A 27,182-nucleotide genomic window follows, 5' to 3' on the forward strand; every position below is an offset into this window, starting at 1 on the left:
TTTACAAACCTTGAGCCAGATACAGAGTGCCGATTGGTGTATTTACAATCCCTGAGCTAGACATAAAGGTTCTCCAAGGCCCCACCAGAGTAGCTAGATACAGAGTGTCCATTGGTGCATTCACAAACCCTGAGTTAGAAACAGGGTGCTGATTGGTGTATTTACAATCCCTGAACTAGACATAAAGGTTCTCCACGTCCCCACCAGATTCAGAAGCCCACCTGGCTTCACCCAGTGGATTCCGCACCAGGGCTGCAGATGGAGCTGCCTGCCAGTCCCGCGCTGTGCGCCCGCACTCCTCAGCCCATGGGTGGTCCATGGGACTGGGCGCCCTGGAGCAGGGGGTGGCGCTCGTAGAGGAGGCTCCGGCCACACAGGAGCCCACGGAGGGGGTGGGAGGCTCAGGCATGGCGGGCTGCAGGACCCGAGCCCTGCCACGCGGGAAGGCAGGTAAGGCCCGGTGAGAAACCGAGCGCAGCGCCGGTCGGCCGGCACTGCTGGGGGACCCAGTACACCCTCCGCAGCCGTTGGCCCGGGTGCTAAGTCCCTCATTGCCTGGGGCCGGCAGGGCCCGCCGGCTGCTCCGAGTACAGGGACCGCCAAGCCCACACCCACTCGGAACTCCAGCTGGCCCGCAAGCGCGGCGCGCAGCCCCAGTTCCCGCTCGCGCCTCTCCCTCCACACCTCCCTGCAAGCTGAGGGAGCCGGCTCCGACCTTGGCCAGCCCAGAAAGGGGCTCCCAGGGTGCAGCGGTGGGCTGAAGGACTCCTCAAGTGCCGCCAAAGTGGGAGCCCAGGCAGAGGAGGCGCCAAGAGTGAGCGAGGGCTGTGAGGACTGCCAGCACGTTGTCACCTCTCAATACTCTGTCTACTTCTCTTGCTATGAGTAATAAAGCCTCTTGTGTCTGCCCCAGGAGTCTCGTGTCTTCTAACGATCTTCTAACGATTCATACTCTGTGGCAGGCTAACTTGTTAGCTGGCAAAAAACAAAATCTCAGGCCCTTCACAATTCTTGACAGGAAGTTGGGATGTAAAATGGGGAATGATTTTTCCTTCTATCATGACTTGAGACAATTTTTACAAAATATGTGTCAACTTCTTGAGAGTGGGCGGTATATTGTAATGATTAATCTTAGAGATTCTGCAGCCAGGCTCTTTGGGTTCTAATCCTGAATAGTGGTCCCTTTTAGTTTGGGTTCCCAGAAACAGACCCTGAGACACGGATATGAGTGAAACTAGTTTATTTGGAAGGTGATCTTAGGAATCACTGATAGGAACGGAGGAAGTCGGAAAGGAGAGGGAAGGCAGACAATAAATGATGAATTTTCAAGTGAGTTATGACTGCTAGAATTTAATCTTATTTGGGAACTCTTGGTAGCCAATACAGAATATGTGCCTCCGACTTTCCTGCTTGAGGGGTGAGGGAGCAGGATATTATACACTAAATCACATAAGTCCTTGGTTGAGGGATCCTGGAAGAGGGTAGGTTCTGATTCTAGTTCTGGATTTTTTGGTCTGCCTTGCCCAATACAAAATAGACTGCCACAGGCCCTGGCAGGTAGATGTGAGATTCGGGTGTGCTTTACATTAATAAGGCCCAAGGGAATGTAGTTGGCACAGCCATAGCTTTTGCTATAGATACCCTCCAGCAGTATAGTCTATGAAGTTACTCAATCTATTTATGCCCCCGTTTCCTCATCTGTACAATGGGAATAATAGCATCAACCACATAGGGTTGATGAAGATTAAAAATTCAGTCCATGTAAAACACTTAAAATAAGCCATACTATTTCATCAGGACTTATGAAATGTTGTTTATTGTTATAGAAGAACGTGACCTTTTGTATTTATTGACATTTTTTCTGTCTCATTCTCCAGCATTTTGGAGATTGACTTTTATTTCCTTAACATCATGAAATTTTGTTTTATTAATACTACATGCCTGTGATTGAGTCTTCTAAATTCGAGGTATATTTATGTTTGACATTTGTCAAGGGGCAACACTGGCTGCCTCATGGGAGGCACCAGAAGGATGTGTTTAAAACTTATTCCTATTTAAATTTCCTTAGAGAATTTATGGGGCTCAGCACTCCTGAACTCTTTAATTTAAAGATTTACTGCTTTGTCAGAGAAACTAATTAAATCTTTTTTGAAGTGTCAGTATCATAGCAGCATTAGACTCAATTTTCTGTTCCTCTATTATGGGAATAGAATATAAAATAGAAGTGTATTTTAAACTCAATTTTTTAGCATTATGTATCATTTATGTCAGACTCCTGCGAATTGGCATCATAGTAACTATGGAATTCGCCAAAACAAAACACTCAAGAATTTTAGTAAGCCTACTTAACTTTTGATTACAGTAAAATTCTACTATTAAGCTAAACAGCGCATATAGGAAATGACAGTTTACTGGGAAAGAGGCCCATATTTATGGAAACCAGCTCCTCAGAGGTCTATAGATTTGCCTGTTTCCTACCTTAGTAACATTCCTTTTTATTCTCCCTTTTGTTTTAGTAAGCCAACAGTCTGCTTGGCTTACTCTGTCTTTTCTTTCCTTTTTTGAGATGGAGTCTTGCTCTGTTGCCCAGGCTGGAGTGCAGTGGCTCTATCTCTACTCACTGCAATCTCCACCTCCCAGATTCAAGGGATTCTCCTTCCTCAGCCTCCCAAGTAGCTGGGATTACAGGCGTGTGCCACCACGACCAGCTAATTTTTTGTATTTTTAGTAGAGACGGGGTTTCACTGTGGTAGCCAGGATGGTCTCGATCTCCTGACCTTGTGATCTACCCGCCTCGGCCTCCCAAAGTGGTGGGATTACAGGCGTGAGCCACCATGCCCGGCCAGCTTACCCTGTCTTAACTCTTGACCTCTTATTTAAAGATCCCAGTCACTTTTACATATTATCCAAGTCCTTATATTAAGTAAATTGGCTAAAGAAATTTCCCCAAACCCTTCTTTCATTTTTGCAGTTGCTCATATAGGTATTATTTTTTTGTCTAAGGATATCTTAACACAATATATATGTGAATATTTTAAAAGTTAAGAAAATTATAATTTTTCTATAAATATTTTATCAGTGTTTAGGCCAAAATAAAATTAGTCATAATTTTCTGCATTAGTCATAATTTTTTGCAATGAAAATTTTAGTAAAATGCTTTTTTTCTAAAAAAAAGTTACTGTATTTTTTCCACTTTAAACATCTTAAATTCGAACTCTATTAAATGGTGTTTAATTTTTATTATGAACCACAAAGAGCTGTAAAAACCTATAAGCTTTCTTTTAATCTATTAGTCAACTTTTAAAAAACTTTTGATGTCTTATTGACCTAAAAATTTTTTCTAAGTAAAAGGTATAATAAAGTTTCCTATAAATTTAATCCATATACACTGTGATGCTATTTTTATTTCTTGAATTTTCCTAGCCATTTTCCTTCCTGCTCAATACCAGCTTAATAAAATATATTAATATATATGAAAGAAATATATATTGCTAGAGATAATATGAACCAAATATTGTTATCTTAAGCAGAATATTCAGGCTATCAGGGAGGAGAAATTAGTGAAATTCAGCTAAATGCTAAACCCAAGTTTTAAAAATAAGTTCAAATCATACTACAGATTTATGGATGCTAAGAGGTGTTTTAATGTTTTCAAATGTTTTAAATAGTCTTTTAGTGCATATATGTGGTTATAAAATAATCCAATAATAATTGATTGAATTATATCTCTTTGCTCTTCATCAGCTCATTTATGGAAGGTCATCCATTTATTGAGACCAGCCCAAAAGACCCTCAGGAACTTAGAAGACTCCTACCGACTTTGAAGACCATAGCCCCAAAGCAGGGCTGTGAAATGGAGCAGCAAAGAAGAGAATCATTGTCAAAGCTCAAGTTCCATCAGAATGACAAAGTAGGCAAAAAGTGTTTTGGTGGGCACCACTGCCTCCTCTTTCTGCATTATCTCCTACCTCCCTTCCCTCCCAAATGCCCAGGGTCCTAGTCCACATCCGAGCTATTTGGGGTTCCTCTGCCGCATCCCACTAAAGCTCATTTTTCATGGGCATATTCTAAAGTGAACCAAATCCTATCTTTCAGCAAAAGTTACTGCTCTTTATTCCTTTTTTTATGGGCCCCATTTTTTTCCTCGGGAAAGATAATATCCAAAAAAAAATCTATGTCTGATAAATTGTTAATGATGAGAATGGATTTAGGATAATGTCTGGCACAAAAATACTTGCTGAAGATATAAAAGCATCTGGTAATCTAATAATATCTCTAGGTCACATATATATGTTCTAACAGGGACCACTTGGATACATTTCTTAAACTACAGAAAATGATGTGGTTATAAAATAATTCAATAATAATTGATTGAATTATATCTCTTTGCTCTTCATCAGCTCATTTATGGAAGGTCATCCCTTTATTGAGACTGCCCAAAAGACCCTCAGGAACTAAATTTAAAAGCTCCAGACCTATAAGAAAGTTCTATTTGGGGGTATGTCACCCATTTATTAACTTTATAGCTTCATATAATTGATGCATATGGTGAGCCTGGTCTTATGGGTGAAATCTGTTATTATATGAATAGGCATTGAGTTCAAGGTACACTTTTGGAAATTTGAGGCTTGTCAGTGATGCTGACTATTTCTGGGCACTGGTACAAGCCCCACAAAGAAAGATTAGTTACATGTTTTCTTTAGTGATGACACGAATTGAATAATATACTCTCAGATTAAATTTGTCACCTATTCAACACAGAATACTTACAAAAGGCCTCAAAGCAAATATAGTTTGTTAAGTGTAAAAACTGGGGAATGTTGACAGCTGCCAAGCCCACATCGTGTTTACACATTTTATATGCTAAGCAAACATGTCAGTTTGTCTGACCTAGCTGTGCCTTCTTCCTGAGAACCTGTTCCCATTACTTTTGGTGAATGGGCAGCAAGCCACATGACCCCATCCTCCTGGACACAGTGGATTGGAACAGAGATGAAAGAGACAGGAAGAGACGGAGACACACATAGAGGCAGAGAGAGGAAAAAAGGGCAAAGCCAGCAGGTAGTCAGACAAAGATCAGTGAGAGAGGGAGGAAAAAGGAAAAAGAGAGTACACATTTTGATTTCAGAGATCTTTCCAGTTCCTCCTTGTAGTTCTGTGAGTGGCCCAGATGTATGTTCTATCCTGATTCTATAAGATAGATAATCTGTGTAACAGAGAAACCTAATTTCTATAACAGTATCCAATAGAAATAGAATGCAAGCCACATGTGTAATTTAAAATTTTGTAATAGCTACATTAAGAATATTTTTAAAACAAGTGAAATCAATTTTAATAATATATTTAACCCCATATATATATATATAATATTGCTGTTTCAATATGTAATCAATATAAAAATTATTGAGATGTTTACAGTCTTATTTTTATACTAAGTCACTAAATTCTGGTGTGCGTTTTACACTTACAGTGCACCTCAGTTTGGACGAGCCAAATTCCAAGTGCCCAGTAGCCACATAATAGCTACCCTGTTGGACAGTGCAGACACAGAACAGTTACTGGAAGGCAGCTGCGCTAGCAGGAGCTGTTTCCCAGCTGCCTTGCATCTAGGAATGACCAGGTGACTAGTTAGTGCCAGACCTAAGAGTAGAAGCTGTGTGTGTTACTTCCAAAAACAAGGTGGTTAAGAAGCAGATATGAGCCGGGCCCAGTGGCTCACGCCTGTAATCCCAGCACTTTAGGAGGCTGAGGTGGTGGATCACCAGGTCAGGAGATTGAGACCATCCTGGCTAACATGGTGAAACCTTGTCTACTAAAAATACAAAAAATTAGCTGGGCGTGGTGGCAGAAGCCTGTAGTCCCAGCTACTTGGGAGGCTGAGGGAGGAGAATGGTGTGAACCCGGAAGGTGGAGCTTGGAGTGAGCCGAGATTGCGCCACTGCACTCCAGCCTGGGGGACAAAGTGAGACTCCGTCTCAAAAAAAAAAAACACAAGAAGGAAGGAGCATGGGTCTCTGAAGCATCACGTTGAGGAAAGTCTGCTGTCAGTTGGATGTATTCATTTTGGATGTTAAGCAAGAAATCAACTTTTTTGATTTGAACTGCTATATATTTTTTTTTTGGTTTGCTTAGCAGTTTAGCCTATTCTATCATGTGTGTGTGTGTGTATGTGTGTAGATATACACATATATTTTATATATAGATTATTTATATAGAGAGATATATTTGTATACTCATGTTCATAGAAGCATTATTTCTGTACTGCTGTTAAAAGCTTTTTCTATTTCTAGTGGCAAGTGATACTCTAAAACGTGTGAGTGCATGCACACACTAACTACCTTTGGGTTTTGTCAGTGAGTAATTTATCTGTGTGTATTTTACCCAGCACATGTTTAGGCTGAAGACTTTTTTTTTCTTTTTTTTGTTTTTGAGATGGAGTCTCACTCTGTCGCCAGGCTGGAGTGCAGTGGCACAATCTCGGCGCACTGCAACCTCCACCTCCTGGGTTCAAGCCATTCTCCTGCCTCAGCCTCCTGAGTAGCGGGGACTACAGGTGTGCGCCACCACACCCAGCTAATTTTTGTATTTTTAGTAGAGACAGGGTTTCACCATCTTGGCCAGGATGGTCTCTATCTCTTGACCTCATGATTTGCCTGCCTCGGCCTCCCAGAGTGCTGGGATTACAGGCGTGAGCCACCGTGCCCGGCCAGGCTGAAGACTTTATCTGGAAAAATAAAGCTCTAAAAATAAATTGAGAGGAGAATATGAATGAACTATAAAACTCTTACAAGAAAACGTTGGACAAAATCTTCACAACATTCAATTTGGTGATGATTTATTGGATATAACACCAAAAGCACAGGCAACAAAAGGAAAAACAGACAAACTGGACTTGATGAAAATTTAAACATTTTGTGCATCAAAAGACGCTAAACAGAGTAAAAGGTAACCCACGGAATGGAGAAAATGCTTGCAAATCATGTATCTGATAAAAGATTAATATCTAGAATATATAGGGAACTTCTAAAACTCAACAACAACAAAAACCAAACAAGCCAATTCAAAAATGGGCAAAGGACTTGAATAGACAGTTCTCCAAAAAAGACATACAAATGGCCAATAAGCATATGAAAAGATGCTCAACATTAATCTTCAGGGAAATGCAAGTTAAAACCGCAGTGAGGTACTACCTCACACCTATTAGGACAGCTACCATAAAAAACAGATAACAAACGAAACAGAAAATAACAATTGTTGGAAAGGATGTGGACAAATTGGAACCCTTGTGCACTGTTGGTGGGATTGTAAAATGGTATAGCCACTGTAAAAAATAGTATGACAGTTTCTTAAAAATGGAATTACTATATGACCAGCAATTCCACTTCTGGGTATATACCCAAAGGAATTGAAAGCAGGATCTTGAAGAGATATTTGTACACCCATGTTCACAGAAGCATTATTCACAATAGCTAAAATGTAGATACACCCTGAATGTCCATTGTGGATCAGTGAATAAGCAAAATGTACATATTTACTTATTTGTGGAGTATTATTTAGCTGTAAAAAGGAATGAACTCCTGACACATGCTGCAACACAGATGAACTTTGAGAACATTATGCTAAAGGAAAGAAGCCAGGCTGGGTGCAGTGGCTCACACCTGTAATCCCAACACTTTGGGAGGCCGAGGTGGGCGGATCACCTGAGGTTAGGAGTTTGAGACCAGCCTGGCCATCATGGTGAAACCCCGTCTCTGCAAAAAATACAAAAATTAGCAGGGCGTGGTGGCGGGTGCCTGTAGTCCCAGTTACTAAGGAGGCTGAGGCAGGAGAATCACTTGAACCCAGGAGGCGGAGGTTGCAGTGAGCTGAGATCATGCCATTGCACTCTAGCTTGGGAGACAAGAATGAAACTCTGTCTCAAAAAATATAAAAATTTAAAAATTTTTGCAAAAGGAAATAAGCCAATCGAAAAAAGACTAATACTGTATGATTCCATTTATTTGAGGCACTTAGCATAGTCAAGATCACAGTGACAGAAAGTAGAATAGTGGTTGCCAGGATTAGGAAGTGGGGAAATGGGGGATTGCTCTTTAATGGGTGTAGGGTTTCAGTTTTGTAAGATGAAAAGAGTTCTGGAGATGGATGGGAGTGATGTTTACTCAACAATATAAATATACTTAATACCACTGAACTGTATACTAAAAATCATTAAAATAGTACATTTAATATTATGTATATTTTACCCCAATACAAATAATTTATTTTAATAATGTTATTTTTAAGAAATCAAGAGGAGTATATGACCAAAGCCTTTAGAATTCTGAAAGGTTGGATTAGTAAACATGGACTTCATCTTTCCCAAGAGTTTTTCCAACCTCAATGTATAGCTAGTATAAGGAAAGGGTTATTAATAGCGTAAGCATTTAACACGTTTATTTTCATTGTGCAAAAATAATTATGACAGAATACTTAAAGTTCCAAAGGCACTGTGTTCAGTCCTATGATATCCTTACAGGAAATATATCTGTATTTTTATGGAGGGAGATTCTGAAACATAAAATTGTTAAAGCACTTGCTCAAAGTCATTTGCCCAGTACTTTAAAATGGGGCTTCTCAACTTCTGCATTATTGACTTTTGGGGCTGGATAATTCTGTTGTTGGGGGCTGCTCTGTGCATTGTACAATGTTTACCAGCATCTCTGGTCTCTACCCACTAGATGTCGGTAGCACCCCTCACCTTCAAGTTGTGATAAAAGACTTTGTGGAAATGTGCCCTGGGGGGCAGAATCACTCCAGGTTGAGAACCACTGCTCTAACACCAGCAGCTTCCCGAGGTTAGGGAGGCCCACCAGAGTCCCCGGCCTTAGAAATGGGGTTTCAGAAAATAACTGGTCAGGTCAAGGTAGGATCAATTTAGGAGGATCTCACATACCAAATTATCAAAGCAAGGGTAGAGGTGGGAGTTTTGTCATAGGAACGAACTAATCTATCTGTTTTAACTTTGATCAGAGTGGTGCTAGGTGATTGAACTAGGCCTTCTCCAATGTCCTTGGAGAGTAAAACATCTATCCCGGGGCTTAGGATGGGGGGTTAAGCCTCTAGGTGGGGAGGCAGTGAACAGAAGGCAGTGAGAACACACAAGCAGGCAGAACATGACAAGATAGCAGAGCAAGGCAAGAATCATCCGAGCTGGGACGATTCAGAAAAGTGTAATGAAAGAATTGTCATCTGAGCAGGGGTATTTTTTTAAAGGCAAAATTCAATGGTTGTAAGGGATGGAAATCCACTCAAATTAGTTCCATCTGAAAGAGAGGTTTATTTTTAGGATATAGTACACTCACGTAAATGAGACACAGCTGGGAATGGAGCTGCAAATTGAAGAGCTGCTGAGGATCATCATTGCTTTTTCTTTACACGGCTGCATGATCCTTCTTCTATGCATCGTTTTGCAAGTATGCTCTCTTCTGTTTGGCAAACTTTCTTTCTTTGCTTACTCTTGGTCTCTGATCATCCATAGTTTTGTCTTGCCTATGACTTTGGTTTGACATAGTGTTGACCCATGAACAGACCCAGATGAGCTTTCACAGAGCTTTCTATGTTGAACTGACTCTATTAATCTCCAGATTCCCAGGAGAAGAATCTGATTGGTCGAGTTTGGGTCAGCTCTGCACCCAACATGATTAATTCAGCTGAAAGTAGGAGAGGGAACACATGATCAACACATGGTCACCTCTGCCTGTTCCTTTAGCAGCTCTGGGGAGCTGAGGTGAAGGATGGCATTTTCCAGGGAAGGCAGTTTGGGCAAATACATTTCTTATACGGCCTTAATGGGTGGAATATGAAATATGGAAGAAATTAACTTCTGTAAGAGGAAGTGGTACCAACAAAGGCATGAAACAAAGATATTTTATATATATACATATTCAGTAAATTTTCTAGATTAATTAGACTGATGTTCAAGGATCATTACATAGTTGGGATTTATTGTAGCCCAAGATTTACATAGAGGACAATAAGGTAATGAGGCTGGAGATACAGTCTGCTATCATATTGTCAAGGGCATTTAAATGCCAGACAGGCATTTAGATTTTTTAGGGTGTCTCTAATGTCTGAGGATACACCATGGAGGGAAACTGCCAAGTTTTTCTGGAAAATATTCTTTGGTTCTTGGGTAAACCCTAGGATCAAGTCAAGTAGCAGATTAATTTCATTTTACAGGGCATTGAAAGAGAAATCAAGCCACAAATTGAAACAATGTTGAAAGAAGGCAACTAGAATAAGAGTCTACCTAGTAAGTTAGTACAAAAAAAAAAAAATAGATAATCTGTTATCTCAGCACTTTTAAAATAAAGCTAGTAGATCTCTACAAATGACCTAATTAAAAATCCAAGCCAAGAAGCCAAAAGCCATTCCACAACAACTACAAATAACAATGACAACAACAACAGCAGTGTTTATAAGGCTTCTTCTATGGGCCCACTACTGTTTTAAGCATTTGTGTGAATGGTATAAGGTAAGCGAATGAGTGTTTTATTCGCCTTCTGTTAAACACGTATAATCTTTTTCTTTCATGGCCCAGAATCACTGAATCTTGAGTTGTAAACGATTGTGACCTCTATGCCAGGAGCAGAGTCTCCTCTAGAAATATCTGTTAATCTCTAACAGTTATGAGAGTCTGTCTGGTAATTGGCCTTTTACCTAGAAGCTAACAGATTCCACATTATATAGCCTTATGGTTCCAAAGACTGGACAGGCAGTTTCATGTACAGAGGTACAGCTGACTTGGATACTATATCTTGGGCCTTAAAGTTCACATTAGAATATCAAAGTGTTTTGTAAACTGCATGTCTCTATAGAGAATACAAATCTACTCTAGGATTAAATAAGCCTGCTTCTTGCTTTAAGTTTAATGCTAATGGTAAACTGAAAAAGATTTCTAGTGACAGATAATTAGTGATAATGGTAATTACCGGCCTTTATATGGTCTTTCACCCAAACAGATGGCAAAGCACTTACAAAATGAATGCTTTAAGGCATAATTTCTCCGCCTTCTTAAATAAAAGTTCCTCTAGGGTCAACAATAGTTTGTATTTAACATACTGCATTATGTTACCCATAACTAAACAAACATTTCCAGACAATTCAGTTAGTCTGTTAATTTGCTTAGCAATTAGCTTTGAATGGATTTTTTTGCCCTGAATACATTATAAATGTATGAATGCATGTATGCCTTGCTTATTTTTCTTATTATTTTATTTAACTTTTATAAGCCACTGTGGTTACCATCGCATGGATGATTTCCAGGGAGCGGGAGGCTGGGTCACTTAGCAGGCTTACACAGGCCCTGTCTCCATGAACAGAAGCCAGCCTCTTGTAGATGGAGCCATCCATTCCTGTACATTTGTTTCTGTTTTTGTTTGTTTGTTTTGAGACGAAGTCTCACTCTGTCACCCAGGCTGGAGTGCAGTGGCACAATCTCAGCTCACTGCAACCTCCATCTCCCAGGTTAAAGCAATTCTCCTGCCTCAGCCTCCCAAGTAGCTGCAACTACAGGAGCATGCCACCATGCCCAGCTAATTTTTGTATTTTTAGTAGAAACAGGGTTTCACCATGTTGACCAGACTGGTCTTGAACTCCTGACCTCAAGCAATCTGGCCGCCTCAGCCTCCCAAAGTGCTGTGATTACAGACATGAGCCACCGCGCCCGGCCCATCCCCACACATTTGATATTTCTGGGTATTCCTGGATTCCTAGGACTGTACATCAGGATTCATTTTCTGGGGGCTATTTTCCCTGTTTCATGTAGAGTTCTAAAGACGACATTAAAAAGGCATCAAAGTTTAATCAAAATGTATCATACATTTATACCATGAAAGGAAACACAGAGACTCTTTTCTCCATTCTCCCTTTCTTTCCCCATCTCCCTTCTCGGGAAAGATGATTTGGGCCTTGTGTTATGGGATACTTCGTGACGTGATCTGGGAAAAAGTCAGGGCAATGTTTTCTAGACCTAATAAGGTGAGGATACTCGTTCGTAAGAAATAAAGTCAAAGTTATGTTAATGGGAAGAATATGAATTTCTGTTCGTATTCTAGACCCCCACATGAAATTTCGGAAGGAGATGAGTCTTTGTGTTGCAGGATATGTTTGGTTTTGCAGCGGAGGTGTTGGGCAGGGTAGGTGGAGGGATTGCAGCCTGGGAGAAAGACTCTCACCTCCTCTCCTCTGCTTCTCCCCGTCCCTAATCCTTCCCTCCCTGGGCAGGCCTTCACAGCCTGAATCAGAATCCAGTGTCTCTTCTTCAGAGCAGATGATGGCTCTGGATGGCTGGGGGAGAAAGAAGAGTTGATATGGTGGCTGAAAGCCCAGGACAGGAAGTCGGGATCGGAATCTTATGGCACCAGGAATGTCATCCTTTTTATTTGGAGCTTCAGCTTCTTCAAACATAAAATATAATTAATAATTCCCAGCTGGGCAAGGTGGCTCATGCCTGTAATCTCAGCACTTTGGGAGGCCAAGGCAGGCAGATCGCAAGGTCAGGAGATCGAGACCATCCTGACTAACATGGTGAAACCCCGTCTCTACTAAAAATACAAAAAATTAGCCAGGCTTGGTGGCACGTGCCTGTAGTCCTAGCTACTCAAGAGGCTGAGGCAGGAGAATTACTTGAACCCAGGAGGCGGAGGTTGCAGTGAGCCGAGCTCACGCCACTGCACTCCAGCCTGGCTGACAGAGCGAGACTCTGTCTCAAAATAATGATAATAATAATAATTCCCTTGAGCATCATATAAAACGCTAAAGCACATAGCGCCTGGCATGTAGTATAAACCCCATCCATGTTAACTATTGTTATTGCTGTTGGCATTCCATGCCTGGGATTGTGGAATTGAATTTACTTGATGATTTCTTTAGGGAGGGGTGAAAGTCCTGGGAAAAAATTAGGGAATGGGACAGTAAAGGGGAAAGGGTTGAAAGGAGAGAGGGAAGAGACGGGAAACAAGAGAGATGCAGGCAGAGCTCCCTCCGAAAGCTGGAGATTTGTCCTCATGAGGCTGTTCCCTTCCCCCAGGAAGTGACACATGGAATCCTAGCCGCAGTGAAGTTTAAGATAACTGAACAGCAAGATGAGGGGTGCAGTGTTTGATTCTCCCCTCATCTCCCTACTCCCTCTGTTCAGTGCAGCTTGGGAATAAACCGAGAGCCCCAGAGGTAAAGACCTGCTTCTGGAGCTGCAAATTCAGATGCCTTCAGAGGCCACAGAAATATTTCAAATGTCAGAGGCAGTCAAGTGTGTATCACCTAAAGGCCTTCAGATTCAAATTAAAAAACATACCCTCCATACCAGTGATTGCTTGCATGTCTTTGGTTTTGTTTGCAAGCTTTGGCTTCACTCTTCAAGCAGTACCATGCATGGGTGCTTTAGCCAAAGGTCTGAGAGGCAGTGTCCGAAGAGGCAGAGACACAGCTATCTATGTCCTCTCTGGTTACATAGAACCCTCACCATGGGCCACTGGGGGCCAGAAGAATCACTCTGCAAGCAATGGATATCTCTCGGAGAGATGGAGAGAAAAAGTCTACCCTATGGGTTACATAACAATTCACTTTTATTGAGAAAAGCACGACTGTTGTCTTGGAACTGTATAGAAGATAGTGAACACAATGAGAAGAATAGCCAAGGAAAGCAGAACATGTAAGAGACATGGATGAAATGTGGTGTGTTGCCGTGGCATTGAGTCTTGGCTTCTAAAATTACTGAAGCCTCTAAGTCTCACATTTCTCATCTATAAAATAATTACTATCACTGAATGGAGATGTTGCACGTGTCAAATGAGGCCAATATGCAATAGAAAAGTACTGTGATTTTTAAAAATGTTCACTCTCCGTTTATTTGCATATGTAAACACTGTCTGCATATGCTCCCTTTAGACTTTATCATCAAATTGTTTTTTCTGAAAGTTTAGGTTCATCTCATGATCTCCTCCTCAAAAATCACCTGTTTCCCAGGTATTTTCAGATGGCTTTGGTTTTTCTCATAAAAGATGAAATAAATTCCTTATTATTTTTTTTGAGACAGGGGTCTCATTCTGTTGCCCAGGCTGGAGTGCAGTGGCCCCATCATAGCTCACTGCAACCTTGAGCTCCTGGGTTCAGGTGATCCTCCTGCCTCAGCCTCCAGAGTAGCTGGGACTACATAAACATGCTACCATGCCCCACTAGTATTTGTGGATCTAAACATTGAAAAGATGCAGTAAAAACATGTTGTTATAATCTTATGGGACTATGGTATAGGCAGTCCATCATTGACTGAAACACTGTTGTGGGGCACATGACCGTACTTAAATCTGGACTATTCCTGTGACTTGTTTTGTTTTGTTTTAAGACAGAGTCTTGCTCTTGTAGCCCAGGCTGGAGTGCAATGGCGCGATTTTGGCTCACTGCAACCTCCGCCTCCTGGGTTCAAGTGATTCTCCTGCCTCAGCCTCCCGAGTAGCTGGGATTACAGGCACCTGCCACCATGCCCAGCTAATTTTTGTATTTTTAGTAGAGACGGGGTTTCACCATGTTGTTCAGGCTGGTCTCAAACTCCTGACCTCAGGTGATCCACCCGCCTCAGCCTCCCAAAGTGCTGGGATTACAGGCGTGAGCCACCGTGCCTGGCCTGTGACTTTTATCTGTAAAATGTGACAGTTCAGGATGGGTGTAGTGGCTCATGTCTATAATCCCAGCACTTTGAGAGCTTGAGGCAGGAGGATTGCCTGTGCCCAGGAGTTTGAGACCAGCCTGGGCAACATAGTAAGACCCTATCTCTACAAAAAATGAAAAATTAACCAGGTATGATGCCATGGATCTTTGGTCCCAGCTACTCAGGAGGCTGAGATGAGAGGCTCACTTGAGGCAAGCTTTGGCTTCACTCTTCAAGCAGTACCATGCATGAGTGCTTTTAGCCAAATGTCTGAGAGGCAGTGTCCGTAAGAGGCAGAGACACAGTTCTCTATTTCCTCTCTGGTTACATGGAACCCTCAACATGGGCCACTGGGGGCCAGAAGAATCACTCTGTGAGCAATGGCTCTCAGAAAGACAGAGAGAAAAAGTCTACCCTATGGGTTACATAACAATTCACTTTTATTGAGAAAAACACAATGACTGTTGTCTTGGAACTGTATAGAAGATAGTGAACACAATGAGAAGAATAGCCAAGGAAAGCAGAACGTTTAAGAGACATGGATGAAAGGTGGTGTGTTGCTGGGAGGCCAAGGCTGCAGTGAGTTGTGATTGTGCCACTGTACTCCATCCTGGAGACAGAGAAAGACTCTCTCAAAAATAAACATGGCCAGGTGCGGTGGCTCACACCTGTAATCTCAGCACTTTGGGAGGCCAAGGCAGGCAGATCACTTGAAATCAGGAGTTCAAGATCAGCCTGGCCAACATGGTGAAATCCTGTCTCTACTAAAAATACAAAAATTAGCCAAGCATGGTGGCTGGCACCTGTAATCCCAGCTACTCAGAGAGACTGAGGCAGGAGAATTGCCTGAACCCAGGAGACGGAAGTTGCAATGAGCCGAGATCACGCCACTGCACTCCAGCTTGGGTGACAAAGCGAGACTTCACCTCAATAAAATATAATAAACACATACAAAATAAAATGTGACAGTTCAGAGACAAGCAGGAGGAATTCTCTCTTTCCTGGGGGAGGGTCAGCCTTTTCATTCTATTTAATATTTAGACCTTCTACTGATTGAATGAGGCCTACTCACATTAGAGAGGGCAATCTGCTTTATTCAGTATACCTGCTTAAATGTTTATGTTGCCCAGAAACTCCTCCACTGACACACTCAGAAAAATGTTTGACCAAATATCTGGGCACCTTGTGGCCCAGTCAAATTGCCATATAAAATTAAATATCACATGGTGTAAAATTGAGAGTTCTGAATTTTTAAAGTCCCCAAATTTTTCTTACTCTCAGTGGATCTGCATCAGGAATATATATACTCTCAGCCAGGCGTGGTGGCTCATGTCTGTAATCCCAGCACTTTGGGAGGCTGAGGCGGGCAGATCACAAGGTCAGGAGATCGAGACCATCCTGGCTAACATGGTGAAATCCCCTCTCTACTAAAAATACAAAAAAATTAGCCAGTCATGGTGGCGGGCGCCTGTAGTACCAGCTACTCAGGAGGTTGAGGCAGGAGAGTGGTGTGAACCCCGAAGGCGGAGCTTGCAGTGAGCCGAGATCGCGCCACTGCACTCCAGCCTGGGTGACAGAGTGAGACTCCATCTCAAAAAAAAAAAAAAGAAAAAAAAAAGGAATATATATACTCTCAAATACATGGTAACAGTTTTGTTATTAATCAGTTCACACATTCAGCAAATCCTGAGTGCCTGATATATACTAGGTGCTGTAGTACTTGTGAGGCAAGTGCCTTACCTTAAAGATTTGCAATGCAATTGCGGAGAACAGACATAAAACATAATGCAGGCAGAGATGAGATAACATTACTAAAAAGTAATGATACAAATAAATATCAGCAAAATACTGTATAATTAAATATGCTTTTCAAATAAAACCACATTAACCTTCTAATTTTGAATATGTATATTTATTCAAAATGTTTGGGAAGGAAGTGTTCTGGTTAATTGATATACACATAAGAATTGGTAACTAACTCTTTATGTATTGTATATGTCTGTATATAACAATATATATGTTATATATAATAAATTTCTGTAGAAATACAACATAAAACCTAGCACTTTGGGAGGCTGAGGCAGGAGGATCACCTGAGATCGGGAGTTTGAGACCAGCCTGACCAACATGGAAAAACCCTATCTCTACTAAAAAATACAAAATTAGCCCGGCGTGGTGGTACATGCCTGTAATCCCAGTTAGGAGGCTGAGGCAGGAGAATCACTTGAACCAGGGAGGCGGAGGTTGCAATGAGCTGAGATCGTGCCACTGCACTCCAGCCTGGGCAACAAGAATGAAACTCTGTCTCAAAAAAATAATAATAATAAAAATAAAAAAAGAAATACAACATAAAAAAAGCTTGACATAAAACCATACTGAACTTAATTTACCTTTTCTTTAATGATTTAGAAAACACTTAAGTAACTTGCAATCCTTCTAAGACATCATTATAAATAAAATTTAATGTTAAAATTTATCATATGTAACAGTTGTAGAAAATTAGACTAAATTTTTACAAAGTGTGTGGCACTTTCTAAAAATCTTAGTATTAAAAATGCGTAAGGAAGGGATCCAGTTTCAGCTTTCTACATATGGCTAGCCAGTTTTCCCAGCACCATTTATTAAATAGGGAATCCTTTCCCCATTTCTTGTTTTTGTCAGGTTTATCAAAGATCAGATGGTTGTAGATGTATTATTTCTGAAGGCTCTGTTCTGTTCCATTGGTCTATATCTCTGTGTTGGTACCGGTACCATGCTGTTTTGGTTACTGTAGCCTTGTAGGATAGTTTGAAGTCAGGTAGTGTGATGCCTCCAGCTTTGTTCTTTTCGTTTAGGATTGACTTGGCAATGTGGGCTCTTTTTTGGTTCCATATGAACTTTACAGTATTTTTTTCCATTCTGTGAAGAAAGTCATTGGTAGCTTGATGGGGATGGCATTGAATCTATAAATTACCTTGGGCAGTATGGCCATTTTCACAATATTGATTCTTCCTATCCATGAGCATGGAATGTTCTTCCATTTGTTTGTGTCCTCTTTTATTTCGTTGAGCAGTGGTTTGTAGTTCTCCTTGAAGAGGTCCTTCACATCCCTTGTAAGTTGGATTCCTAGGTATTTTATTCTCTTTGAAGCAATTGTGAATGGGAGTTCACTCATGATTTGGCTCTCTGTTTGTCTGTTCTTGGTGTATAAGAATGCTTGTGATTTTTGCACATTGATTTTGTATCCTGAGACTTTGCTGAAGTTGCTTATCAGCTTAAGGAGATTTTGGGCTGAGACAATGGGGTTTTCTGAATATACAATCATGTCATCTGCAAACAGGGACAATTTGACTTCCTTTTTTCCTAATTGAATATCCTTTATTTCTTTCTCCTGCCTAATTGCCCTGGCCAGAACTTCCAACACTATGTTGAATAGGAGTGGTGAGAGAGGGCATCCCTGTCTTGTGCCAGTTTTCAGAGGGAATGCTTCCAGTTTTTGCCCATTCAGTATGATATTGGCTGTGGGTTTGTCATAAATAGCTCTTATTATTTTGAGGTACGTACCATCAATACCTAATTTATTGAGAGTTTTTAGCATGAAGGGTTGTTGAATTTTGTCAAAGGCCTTTTCTGCATCTATTGAGATAATCATGTGGTTTTTGTAGTTGGTTCTGTTTATATGCTGGATTATGTTTATTGATTTGCGTATGTTGAACCAGCCTTGAATCCCTTCCTTGGATCCCTTCCTTACACCTTATACAAAAATTAATTCAAGATGGATTAAAGACTTAAATGTTAGACCTAAAACCATAAAAACCCTAGAAGAAAACCTAGGCAATACCATTCAGGACATAGGCACGGGCAAGGACTTCATGTCTAAAACACCAAAAGCAATTGCAACAGAAGCCAAATTGACAAATGGGATCTAATTAAACTAAAGAGCTTCTGCACAGCAAAAGAAACTACCGTCAGAGTGAACAGGCAACCTACAGAATGGGAGAAAATTTTTGCAATCTACTCATCTGACAAAGGGCTAATATCCAGACTCTACAAAGAACTCAAACAAATTTACAAGAAAAAAACAACCCCATCAAAAAGTGGGCAAAGGATATGAACAGACACTTCTCAAAAGAAGACGTTTATGCAGCCAACAGACACATGAAAAAATGCTCATCATCACTGGCCGTCAGAGAAATGCAAATCAAAACCACGATGAGATACCATCTCACACCAGTTAGAATGGCGATCATTAAAAAGTCAGGAAATAATAGGTGCTGGAGAGGATGTGGGGAAATAGGAACACTTTTACACTGTTGGTGGGACTGTAAACTAGTTTAACCATTGTGGAAGACAGTGTGGCAACTCCTCAAGCATCTAGAACTAGATATACCATTTGACCCAGCCACCCATTACTGGGTATATACCCAAAGGATTATAAATCATGCTACTTTAAAGACACTGCACACGTATGTTTATTGTGGCACTATTCACAATAGCAAAGACTTGGAACCAACCCAAATGTCCATCAATGATAGACTGGATTAAGAAAATGTGGCACTTATACACCATGTAATACTATGCAGTCATAAAAAAGGATGAGTTCATGTCCTTTGTAGGGACATGGATGAAACTGGAAACCATCATTCTCAGCAAACTATTGCAAGGACAAAAAACCAAACACCGCATGTTCTTACTCATAGGTGGGAATTGAACAATGAGAGCACTTGGACACAGGAAGGGGAACATCACACAGCAGGGCCTGTCATGGGGTGGGGGGAGGGGGAGGGATAGCATTAGGAGATATACCTAATGTAAATGATGAGTTAATGGGTGCAGCACACCAACATGGCACATGTATACATATGTAACAAACCTGCACATTGTGCACATGTACCCTAGAACTTAAAGTATAATTTAAAAATGCGTAAATATATAACTTGAACAGAATTGAAAGAAATAAACTAAAACACAACATTTGATCTTAACCCTGACTTCCAACCCTACTGTCTCTTTTTTTTTTTTCTTTTCTTGGACAAGACTATTGCAGTACCAGCCCTACTTTTCAGAAGGAATTATATTTTCTTTTTCTTTTTTTTTTTTTTGACATGGAGTCTCGCTCTTGTCACCCAAGCTGGAATGCAGTGGTGCCATCTCAGCTCACTGGAACCTCTGCCTCCCAGATTCAAGTGATTCTCTTGCCTCAGCCTCCCGATAGCTGGGATTACAGGCGCCCACCATCACGCCTGGCTAATTTTTTGTATTTTTAGTAGAGATGGGGTTTCACCATGTTGGCCCGGCTGGTCTCAAACTCCTGACCTCAGGTGATCTGCCTGCCTTGGCCTCCCAAAGTGCTGGGATTACAGGTGTGAGCCACCGTGGCTGGCCAGTAATTATATTTTCTTAAGTGTCCTGCCAGATATTTTTAATGCATATATGTATCTGTATGTATATTACTGTTTTACACATATAGATCCTATAATAACTATTGCTTTATACCTTATATTTTTCACTTAACATATATTGGTGATCTCCCTGAGTTTTTTTAATGAACGCATAATAGTCTATCATTTGGATCTACCCTAATTTAACATAACTAGCTGAGAATTGATGGACATATTGGCTGTGTCCAGTTACTTGCTATTTGCAGCAATGCTTCAATTAACACAATTGTAAATATAAATTTATGTACTTGTGTGAATATGTAAGTAGGATAAGTTCCTGAATAAATTCTTGATATCAGTTTTGTGTAGTGGCAGTTTATCTGCTAAAAATTTCTGGTTATTTGAGTTTTTCTTTATCTGATGCTAAATAAACGGGAATTTATGTTATGGGTGAGACATGTCCTAATATTTTGAAAGATCAATTTTGGGCAACCAGGTGGTGTCAGGGAAGAGATAAGTCTAAGTGTATTGGATGGTTGGTCTTCTTTATGTTTAATGAATATGTAAGAATCAAATGAAATTACTACATTTGTACATACTATAGACAAATTTACTTTTGTGTTTTCTTTTTTTTTTTTTTTGAGACGGAGTCTTGCTCTGTTGCCCAGGCTGGAGTGCAGTGGTGCACTCTCGGCTCACTGCAAGCTCTGCCTCCCGGGTTCACGCCATTCTCCTGCCTCAGCCTCCCGAGTAGCTGGGACTACAGGCGCCCACCACCAGGCCTGGCTAATTTTTTTGTATTTTTAGTTTAGCCAGGATGGTCTCGATCTCCTGACCTCGTGATCCGCCTGCCTTGGCCTCCTAAAGTGCTGGGATTACAGGCGTGAACCACCGCCCCTGGCCTACTTTTGTGTTTTCTACAAAAATATTTTACTAAAGCGAATAACTGTGTAAATAGTAATAGTCTACCTACTTAAGAATAAACTTAACGTCATTTGCTGTTTGCATATAATGTCCTAATTACAAATTATTCTTAAAATCTCATTGTAATGTGATAAAAAAGCATTTCCCTAAGTGCATCTTAAATTTAGACTGAGTCGGCCGGGCGCAGTGGCTCACACCTGTAATCCCAGCACTTTAGGAGGCCGAGGCAGGTGGATCACGAGGTCAGGAGATCGAGACCATCCTGGCTAACATGGTGAAACCCCGTCTCTACTAAAAATACAAAAAATTAGCCGGGCGTGGTGGCAGGCGCCTGTAGTCCCAGCTACTCGGGAGGCTGAGGCAGGAGAATGGCGTGAACCCAGGAGGCAGAGCTTGCAGTGAGCCGAGATCGCACCACTGCACTCCAACCTGAGCGAAAGAGCAAGACTCCGTCTCAAAAAAAAAAAAAAAAAAAAAAAAAATTTAGGCTGTCCTTAATGACTACCAAAAAGCTGAAAAACGAAAAATCTAGTCAAATGGTATAAATGACTCGACAAATGTCTATCTTTTGAAGGAGCTCGTTTTGTATGTATCTTGCTTAATCTGATCAAATTGTCCTTGTTTTACTCTGAATATTTTTTTTTTTTTGAGATGGAGTCTTGTCTGTTGCCCAGGCTGGAGTGCAGTGGCGCAATCCTGGCTCACTGCAACCTCTGCCTCCCAGGTTCAAGCAATTCTCCTGCCTCAGCCTCCCTAGTAGCTGGGATTACAGGCGCATGCCACCATGGCTGGCTAATTTTTGTATATATTTATTTTTTTTTAATAGGGACAGGGTTTCACCATGTAGGCCAGGCTGGTCTCAAACTCCTGACCTTGTGATCTGCCCACGCCGGCCTCCCAAAGTGCTGGGATTACAGGCATGAGCCACCACGCCTTGCTGTTTTATATCAGCTTTCCTAAAATCATGGTGAAGCTAGACTTACTTGGGTTGGGGGCAGGGGTGCATCTTTTTGTAAAGTGAATTAAAACAATGACAGTGTTTTTATTTGCGATCAACTTTTATAATAAGACTCCATCTTTTTTTACTTCTTTATTACAGGGAAGTCAGAAAATACACATACACATAAAGAAGTCAAGACCACCCACCCGCCACCCTTTTTGAGACGGCTGCCATTAACAGCCATCCACATCCCCTTCTTTCCATGTTTACACACTGAAGACAACAGAAATGGGAGCATTTTCTGTATGCTGCTTTTTTTCTTTTTTTTTTGAGACGGAGTCTCTCTCTCTAGCCTAGGCTGGAGTGCAGTGGTGCGATCTCGGCTTACTGCAACCTCCACCTCCCGGGTCCCGGTTCAAGCAATTCTCCTGCCCCAGCCTCCCGAGTAGCTGGGATTACAGGAATGCACCACCATGCCCAGCTAATTTTTTTTTTTTTTTTTTGAGACGAAGTTTTGCTCTTGTTGCCCAGGCTGGAGCACAATGGCGCGATCTCGACTCACTGCAACCTCTGCCTCCCGGGTTCAAGTGATTCTCCTGCCTCAGCCTCCTGAGTAACTGGGATTACAGGCACCCACCACCATGGCCGGCTAATTTTTGTATATTTAGTAGAGACGGGGTTTCACCATGTTGACCAGCCTGGTCTTGAACTTCTGACTTCAGGTGATCCACCTGCCTTGGTCTCCCAAAGTGCTGGGATTACAGGCGTAAGCCACTGCGCCCGGTCAATTTTTGTATTTTTAATAGAGATGGGGTTTCACCGTGTTGGCCAGGCTGATTTTGAACTCCTGACCTCATGATCTGCCTGCCTCGGCCTCCCAAAATGCTGGAATTATAGGCGTGAGCCACCGCGCCCGGCCTTGTATGCTGCTCTTTAACCAGTTTTCACTTTTATACCCATACTTAAACTCTTCAAGAAATCATTTAAAATTTCTTTTTAAATTCATCTACTGCTCCATGCTATTCTTGTGGGTGAAAAAGTATAATAGTCAGCACAATAAATTAATTCTCTTTGAAACTCATGTTCTCATGTTACCAGAAGTATTTTTTGATCTGATCTGTATTTCTTCTTTGTATAATACCTACAAAATGACCAAACCAAATAAAATTATGTTCCCTATTGTTTGAAAATAGTTTGTAACTAGGAAATAAATATTGTGTTACATTAGGGATGATCACATTATGTAATTTAGTGAAAATTTTAATATAACACAGTTTGATCCTTTATCTTCTGCTGACAGATTATTTTTTAAACCAGTTATTCAGAATGTCTAGAAATGAAGGGAAAACTCTTCTAAAACATGTGATATGGTGAGAATCTGATGACCTTTAGTGGTATGGAGACAGGAGCAGTGGCCAAATTGTGTTCTGTCTCCACATTTTTCCCTTATATGCAAGCACACACACACACACACAGACACAACACTTACACAGACATACATACCCCCAACACACACAGACACACACATACATCCATCCCCCAACACAGACACATAAACCCATCCCCCACACACGGACACACACTCACACACACACACATACACCCCCCACACAGACACACATACCCACCCACACATACATACCCCCAACACAGACACACACACCCATCCACCCCCCAACGAAGGCACACAGACCCACACACACACACAGTGATACACACACAGACACACACACACACGTTTTTCCCGAGGTGAAATTGGCTCAAAATAAATAGTAAGTGCAACTTTGAGTAAAAAGTGATATGACCACACATCTAGTCCCTGAAGTCATTGTATTAATACAAGGAAATTCTACTTCTTCATGATGTTCATCTGACAGAGGAAGGAGATCTTATTATATGTAGTCATGTTTATAAACTCTATCCGTGCCTCTTACCCCTGCTTTCTTTTAAGTACAAATTGCTTCCTCAGTTATTGTCCAGAAGCCTGGTGGGGCAGCTTTAAGTACATTAGAAAGAAGTTTTTTTTTGTTGTTGTTTGTTTGTTTCTTTGTTTGTTTGTTTTCAGGTGGAGTCTCACTCTGTGGCTCAGGCTGGAGTGCAGTGGTGTGATCTTGGCTCACTGCAGCCTCTGCCTACCGGGTTCAAGAGATTCTCCTGCCTCAGCCTCCCCAGTAGCTGGGATTACAGGTGCACACCGCCACGTCCAGCTAATTTTTTTGTATTTTTAGTAGAGACAGGGTTTCACCATGTTGGCCAGGCTGGTCTCAAACTCCTGACCTCAAGTGATCCGCCCGCCTCGGCCTCCCAAAGTGTTGGGATTACAGGTGTGAGCCACCGTGCCCAGCTGCCTAGAGAGAAGTTTTAAGGAAAAAAAAAGAACTGTATCATATTCTGAGAGAAGGACTCTTCTTCACCTGGAAATCAAGAGAATCCTAAATGACAATAACAATTAAATATTTGATATTGTATTTGAATAATTTAAAAAACTTAGATATAATTTACATACCATAAATTTATCCTTTTAAAGCGCACAGATCAGTGGTTTGTAAAATATTCATAGAGTTGTACGGCCATCATCTCTAATATCAAAAATGTTTTCATCACTCCCATATCCATCAGCCCCCAGCCCCCGCCAACCACTAATTTACTTTCTGCAGCTATGAATTTACCTACGCTGGACATTTCATATAAGTGGAATAATATAAATATGGCTTTTTGTGTCTAGCTCCTTTTACTTAGCAAAATGTGTTCAAAGTTCATCCATGTTGTTAAGAGGTATCAGTACTTTATGCCTTTTCATGGCTGATTAATATTCCATTGCATGGGTATGACACATTTTCTTTATCCATTCATCAACTGATGGACATTTAAGTTATTTCTACTTTTTATTTTTTTTGTAATAGAGATAAGGTCTTGCTCTGTCACCCAGGCTGGAGTGCAGTAGCCTTGAACTCCTGGGCTCAAGCCATCCTCCCACCTTCGCCTCCCGAGTAGCTAGGACTACAGACCACACCACCATACCTAGATAATTTTTTAATTTTAACTTTTTAATTTTGTGTAGAGACAGGGTCCCGAACTCATGGCCTCAAGCAACCTTCCTGCCGTGGTCTGTCGAAGTGTTGAGATTACAGGTATGACCCACAGCGCTCAACCTCCATTTTTTGACTATTATGAATAATGCTGCTGTGAAATTAGTGTACAAGTTTTTGTTCACACATGCTGTTTTAGTATTTATGATGTCCTTTAAGGTTGCTTGTCTCATTGGGCCTCACAAACACTTTGTGAGATAAGACAAATCCTATTTCCATTTTGCCTCTAGGGAAACAGGCTCTCAGAGATAATTGCTTAGTTTGTGCTAGAGTCAGCACTCTAATCCAGTCCTGTTTTTTAAAAAATAGCTTAAAAATGTCAAAAGAAGCACAGAATTTTCTGGGAAAGGTGAAATTTGTTGCTTATTTTCAGTTTTGTAAAGATGTGAATATATTTACCCATGCTCATTAGAGAAGCAGTGTCTAGAGTAAGTTACAGATCCAGAAGAAAATGTTGCCATAACAAGTGGTCAAAATTTCCTAAAACAGAGTTAAAACAGAATTATACCCAGGCTGTTGTATAGGAATAGGCACTTCTATTCTTTGTAGTTTTGTGATTTTACTTTCAAGGAAAACGCAGACAGATTGTAGCTGTTCGCAGTTCTAATGGTTCACAGAAAGAAACTGCTTCAGATTATTTTTTTCTCCTAATTATCATGCATCTTAGAGACATGTTTATGACTAGATTTAAATCTTAACACAGTCTATTAATATTTCAGTTTTGGCATCAGGCACATGAAATAGGATTATTCATGCAAACCTTGCCAAAAGCATCCTGAGTCAAAACTTGACTAAATTAATACAGTCCTTTTTTGATATTTGAATCATCATATATAAAAATTTTGCAGGAGACCTTGGAAACGTTTTAATCCAAATACTTACCCAATGTATGCATTCTGATTCATGAATTGAATCCCCACCCCCCGCTACCTACTCTCTTATTCTTATAGCCAAAAGCAGGAACACTAATAATAAAGGACAGAAGCCTAACAACAAACAAAAAAGTCTTGTTCAATTTTCCTTGCTTGGAATATCTTTCCCCACATCGTGTTCCTGGTGAACTCTGACTTACCCTGAGTTAATTACTTTCACCTTGTATCAATACTCATATTCTATTTAGCACACTTTATTGAGATTATTTGTTTAAATATATGTACTCTATCAGATGATGTGATTTAAAACACATTTTGTTAATCTCCAGCATCCAGTAGAATTCCTGGTATAGTCATGCAGTAAAGATTTGGTTTTTTGTTGTTTTTTTGTTTGTTTGTTTGTTTGTTTTTTGAGACGGAATCTTGCTCTGTCGCCCGGACTGGAGTTCAGTGGTGCTATCTTGGCTCACTGCAACCTCCGCCTCCTGGGTTCAACCGATTCTCCTGCCTCAGCCTCTGGAGTAGCTGGGATTACAGGCATGTGCCACCATGCCCAGCTAATTTTTTGTATTTTTAGTAGAGACAGGTTTTCACCATGTTGGCCAGGCTGGTCTCAAACTTCTGACCTCAGGTGATCCGCCTGCCTTGGCCTTCCAAAGTACTAGGATTACAGGCATGAGCCACCGTGCCCAGCTAAACATTTGCTGATTTTAGCCAGGCTCCGTGGCTCACATCTGTAATCCCAGCACTTAGGGAGGCCAAGGCCAGGCAGATAGCTTGAGCCCAGGAGTTTGGGACCAGCCTGGGCAACACGGTGAAAATCTATCTCTATAAAAAAATACAGAAATTAGCTGGGTGTGGTGGCATGCACCTGTAGCCTAGTCTTAGCTACGCTGGAGGCTGAGGTAAGAGGATCACTTGCCCTGGGAGGCTGAGGCTGCAGTAAGTCCTGATTGTGCCACTGCACTCCAGCCTGGGTGACGAAGCAAGACCCTATATTAAAAAAAAAAAAAGATTTGTTCATTTGGATGGACTCAGGATCTCAAGAACTCTGAGTTCTGACTGACTGCTGATTGTGAAGTCACTATCTGCATTACCATTAACTAACACTTACAAAGCCCTCATAGCTAGAAGAACTAAACTGGACCTATAAGACATATAAAGTATCTTGCACACAGTCCCAGCACTTAGGAAGTTAATGAAGTCTATAAATTCAAAGTAGAAGTCAAGCTCAGCAAATGTAGATTCAATATTAATGTTGAGAAGACTACCAGTGCATACACACGTAATCAATGGGGCGTCAATGTGTGGGAT

The 27,182-nt window shown here is 41.0% G+C and overlaps 1 long non-coding RNA gene across 1 annotated transcript in view; it reads left to right on the forward strand.

Moving 5' to 3' along the window:
* The first annotated feature begins 402 nt into the window (after positions 1-402).
* LOC105373909 (uncharacterized) overlaps positions 403-27,182 on the forward strand; it is a 61,147-nt gene continuing 34,367 nt past the window's right edge. Inside the window, exons 1-2 of the long non-coding RNA XR_923955.1 lie at positions 403-450; positions 3,745-3,910. This is a non-coding gene — a long non-coding RNA (uncharacterized LOC105373909). The remainder of the gene's footprint in view (positions 451-3,744; positions 3,911-27,182) is intronic.

Source organism: Homo sapiens, chromosome 2 (assembly GCF_000001405.40).
Source record: "Homo sapiens chromosome 2, GRCh38.p14 Primary Assembly".
Classification (NCBI taxonomy): Eukaryota; Metazoa; Chordata; class Mammalia; order Primates; family Hominidae; genus Homo; species Homo sapiens.